At 36.1% G+C, this 4951-nt stretch overlaps 1 pseudogene; it reads right to left on the reverse strand.

Annotated features, from left to right (window-relative positions):
• Positions 1-747: 747 nt before the first annotated feature.
• LOC101928508 (zinc finger Ran-binding domain-containing protein 2-like) lies at positions 748-2949 on the reverse strand (annotated as a pseudogene).
• Positions 2950-4951: the final 2002 nt, after the last annotated feature.

Consider the following 4951-nt stretch of genomic DNA (forward strand, 5'->3'; position numbering starts at 1 on the left):
TGAGCCAAGACTGTGCCATTGCACTCCAGCCTGGGCAACAAGAGTGAGACTCTGTCTCAAAAAAAAAAAAAAAAAAAAAAAAGGAGAAAAGGAAAATGAATCACACCTTTCTCCTTCTGCAAGTCACAAGATTCTTTTCCATTAAATGTGGTGGTGCAAAAAAAAGTAAAGCTTGATGAAAGAAAGACAATGTTTCCATGGCACCCTTAGTACAGCAAATTTCAAAATAAACCCATTTCCAATTGGCTGCTTTACAACTTAGTTTAACTTTTTTTGGTAAGAATCACTTTGACATAGGTTAACAACATAAACAGGTTGACTTCTTTTCCCAGAGTAACATAAACATGTTGTTTCCAACTAGTTTACCAGTTTTGCCTCCATGCCCAAAAGTTCAGGCAAGCCCCAGATAATTTTGTCTTAGCCAGTAAACAGGATATATGTGGAAATGAGAAAAATGAGTTTAATTAGGAAACAATACTTTGTTACAGCTGAGATGATTTTAAATGAAGCAAATGGTTGTAAACCATGAATGACAGAGCATCTATTTTGGGACATTATGGCTTATTAACAGAATGCTATTTACTTTCAACTTCACAAATAAACACAGCTGTATTGTTCTGAAACATGATGAAAGGCATGCACCTCTACTAGCAGATTTAGCACTTCTGACCATCAAAAACACCAACTTCCTTAAAAATGTGCTTCATGCACTGTATTAGATTTCATTAAGATATACATTTTAATGCCTTATTTCTTTTTTGAACTTGAATGGGAACCAGAATGGAATGATCCAGAAGATGACCTGTGGTGCTTGGGTAAAGTAATGTGTTCTGTAAGGGTTGGCCCTGGGCTCAGGGTTGTTTAGTGAGCCCCTGTGGGACCTGGAACTGGATCTTGATTTCAACCCAGAGGATCTTAAATGTTCTCTGGAACTGAAACAAGATCTTGACTGTGAACTAGAACTTCTTGAAGGGAACCTGGACCTAGACCTTGAATTTGAAAGGGAGAATGAACATGATGAAGATAGTGAATGTGAAGATTGAGATATTGAGTGACTTTTTCTATTAGATTTCTTTTTATTACTATCGCCTTCTTCACTGACGTCAATATTATATTTTGAGAGATCAGCATCATCTTCATCCTCATCTTCATCTAATTTATATTTAGAAAGATCTTCATCCTCATCCTCTTCTTCTCCCTCTGATTCTTTACTTCAACCTCCTTTCATATAGATGCAGGACCAACAGGCTTCCCTCTGCATTTTTTCTTTTTATATCCAAACTCATCATATTTACCTTCGGATTCTTCTCATTCTATATATTCAACATTATCTTTTTTTTTTTTTTTTTTTGAGACAGAGTTTTGCTCTCGTCACCCAGGCTGGAGTGCAGTGGCGCAATCTTGGCTCACTGCAACCTTCGTTTCCTGGGTTCAAGCGATTCTCCTGCCTCAGCCTCCTGAGTAGCTGGGACTACAGGTGTACGCCACCACGCTCGATTAATTTTTGTATTTTTAGTAGAGACGGGGTTTCAACATGTTGGCCAGGATGGTCTCGACCTCTTGACCTCGTGATCTGCCTGCCTCGGCCTCCCAAAGTGCTGGGGTTACAGGCGTGAGCCACCGCACCCAGCCAACATTATCTTTTATTAAAGCCACCAACATATCTGTTCTTTCTTCTAATTTATCATACTTTGGAGTATTACATGTTACACTCTGATCTTCTGGTCCAATTCACATTACTGCAAGTTATACCTTGCCAGTCATTAGCATTAAATAGGCATCAGCTATTTTCTGTAAATATTTTTGCTATTTTAAAATGTGCCCCCAGCTTTCATCATCTTGGCCTGTCGTTTTCTTTTTAAGTATTACTATTATTAATATTATTAATAGTTGCTTTTACAAATTATGTTTTTGTTTTCATGAAATGATATTCATAAAATTTGGTCAAGTTGTATTTTTCTATTTTCAGTGCTCACCCTCATACAATTATACCATAGCTTCCCCTTTCTGGAGATAATTTTGATTATTCATGTTTTTATTTTCCTTATGATCTCCAGGTAATGACTTGTACTTTTGTGGTTTTCTATTACAGGCTTTCAAATTCTGATTTTGAATGAAACAATATACTGTCCTATCTCTTTGCTCTGCTTAGATCCTATTTTGGATTTTTGCTAACAATATAATCATAGCTTGTGATAGACCTCTTCTGATTGAATCAATGGTATCTTTAACAAAAACTAGATCATATCTAAAGTTTTGGCACTAAATTGACCGTATGCACTTTGAAATATACTTCTGACACAATTTTCTCCATGAAAAAATTAGTTGCCATTGGGATATAATAAATTCACTTGATATTTGGGTACAATATTGCTGCTTGATTACACTATTTCACTGTCTTCCTACCATCCATAGTCGGTGCTCTTCCCCTTGAAAGGTGGAGCATAAGGTGGTAACCCTCTCTGTTAGTTTATATATTCCATATGCAGAATGGAAATATATATGGTGGAAATATTTGATAATGTTTATACACTAAGTCATTAAATTGATGTTTTTAAATAATGAGAGTCAACCTTTTTAAGTCCTCTTATTAACTGCAGCATTTTCAGGGAATTAGTCGGTAAAACTTTAATATAATCTTTTTGATTAATTTTATGTATTTTTTTCTAATGAAAGGAAATTGGATGCAATTCTTTAAGTTCACATAATATTTAATATTATAGTTTTGCCTGGAATATTAACTGCCTTTGGGGGAGATTTTCAGAGATTCGATTTGGTAATCCAAGGGTCCTAGCTGATATTTTAAAAATAAATAAAATTTGCAAATTAATAAGTAGTGTAGATTCCCATTATCTTATTACATTAGGTCCAATTAAGTAATTTACACAAGGAAAATTAGTCTTGAAGTAACCTGGTCAGGAATACAATAGAGGTAGTCCGGTTCGACATTATGTCCTTTTTTTTTTTTTTTTTTTGAGACGGAGCCTCACCCTGTCGCCCATGCTGGAGTGCAATAACATGATCTCGGCTCACTGCAAACTCCACCTCCCGGGTTCAAACAATTCTCTTGCCTCAGCCTCCTGAGTAGCTAGGATTACAGGCACCTGCCACCATGCCCAGCTAATTTTTGTATTTTTAGTAGAGACGGGGTTTGACCATGTTGGCCAGGCTGGTCTCGAACTCCTGACCTCGTGATTCACCCGCCTCAGCCTCCCAAAGTGCCAGGATTACAGGCATGAGCCACCACGCCCAGCCTGACATTATGTTCTTAGACACTACAAAATACCACCTTACATTCTTTGTATGTTTGTTAAAATCTTCTCCAATACTCATTGTAAATACTTGAAAAAAAAAGAAGACAAACCTTTAACTTCTCTTTCTTCCCAAGAAGATGCTAAATTTACTTTATTTTACTCCATAATAGAATGAGAAATATCATAGTCCATATGTAATTTATAAATTACTAATCAAGATTTATAGAAAGTAGATAAAATCAACTTGAATTAATTCATATTTCCTTAACCCCTTCTCTAGAATAAAGAATATATTCTTTGGTTATTCATTTTTAACATCTAACACACAAGAGAATATATATATTTTTAAAATATGAAATTTTTTGATATGTTGTAATCATTTTGGTATAAGTGCTACATAGTTTTCAAAAAAGGGGAAAAAACCTTATGCAGTGTTTTATAGTATGACAACCCAGAAAGATCAAGATTGGAAATTCATAAATGTACTATAGCACTATTTGTTATTTTTATTAGGTTTATATTTAAATACTTTCATACTAAATGTTGGGCTAATTATTAATCCTTCTACAACTCTAATAATTTTGAGGATTAAAAGGCAAAATAAAAATCTACTCTAAAAGAAAACTAGAACATAATTATAGGAGAGCATGAACAACTTTATACAAAAATCTTTTAAAACATACAGGCTCACACTTGTAATCCCAGCACTTTGCCAAGGCAGGTAGATTGCTTGAGCTCAGGAGTTCGAGACCAGCCTGGGCAACATGGTGAAACCCTGTCTCTACCAAAATAAAAAAAATTAGCTGGGCGTGGTGGTGCCCCTCTGTGGTCCCAGCTACTCGGGAGGCTGAGGTGGGAGGATCACTTGAGTCTGGGCGGCAAAGGTTGAATGAGCCAAGACTGTGCCACTGCACTCCAGCCTGGGTGACAGAGTGAGACCCCATCCCGAAATTTTTTTAAAAACATAAATAAAATATAAAACCAATTTTCTAAAGTATGTAATTTTCCAAAACCAACAGAAAAGAAGCTATGACTAGACATAAAGCTACTTAAAAATCATGTATTTGTACTTTGAAATCTACCCAAAAACAAACTAACAACCCACTACACTTCTTTAGGCAGGCATTTTTATAGGTGAATTACATAAAAACTCAAAGATCATGAAAAAATGATGGCATAGATGTTAGCTGGCTTCACTTTCCCCCAACAGAAAAGCAAAAATGAATATACAGTGCTGAGATTATCACCAGCAATATCCCAAAACTCAAATATAGGTATGGTCAGTTCCCGAAGTCACAGAGAAGTAAAAAAAAAAAAAAAAAAAAAAAAAAAAAAAAAATCCAAGCAGACAGCAAAATAAGCACATTTTCACATCTTCAGTGACCCTCCTCCCAATTTTCCCAACACCAAGTGCATGGAAAATTTCCTCTGCCTCACAGTTTCTCCACTGGAAAAAGTGAGATCAAGGTGGACAACCAGCTTCCTCACCATCTTGAATATGCTGGAAGGAGATCTATCCCTACCTCAAACCACAGGAAGCATTTGGGAGTACCAGAATTGAGAAATATCCTCGAGGATAGCCAGAGACAAAGAGGGAAGGCAGGACTGCCATCCCCAACCTTGGAATTTCTGCTCTATAACTTGGCCAGAGGAGATAGTAAATTACAGCAGCTATTCAGCAGCATCATGTTGTAGGA

This window comes from Homo sapiens, chromosome X (genome assembly GCF_000001405.40).
Source record: "Homo sapiens chromosome X, GRCh38.p14 Primary Assembly".
Lineage (NCBI taxonomy): Eukaryota > Metazoa > Chordata > Mammalia > Primates > Hominidae > Homo > Homo sapiens.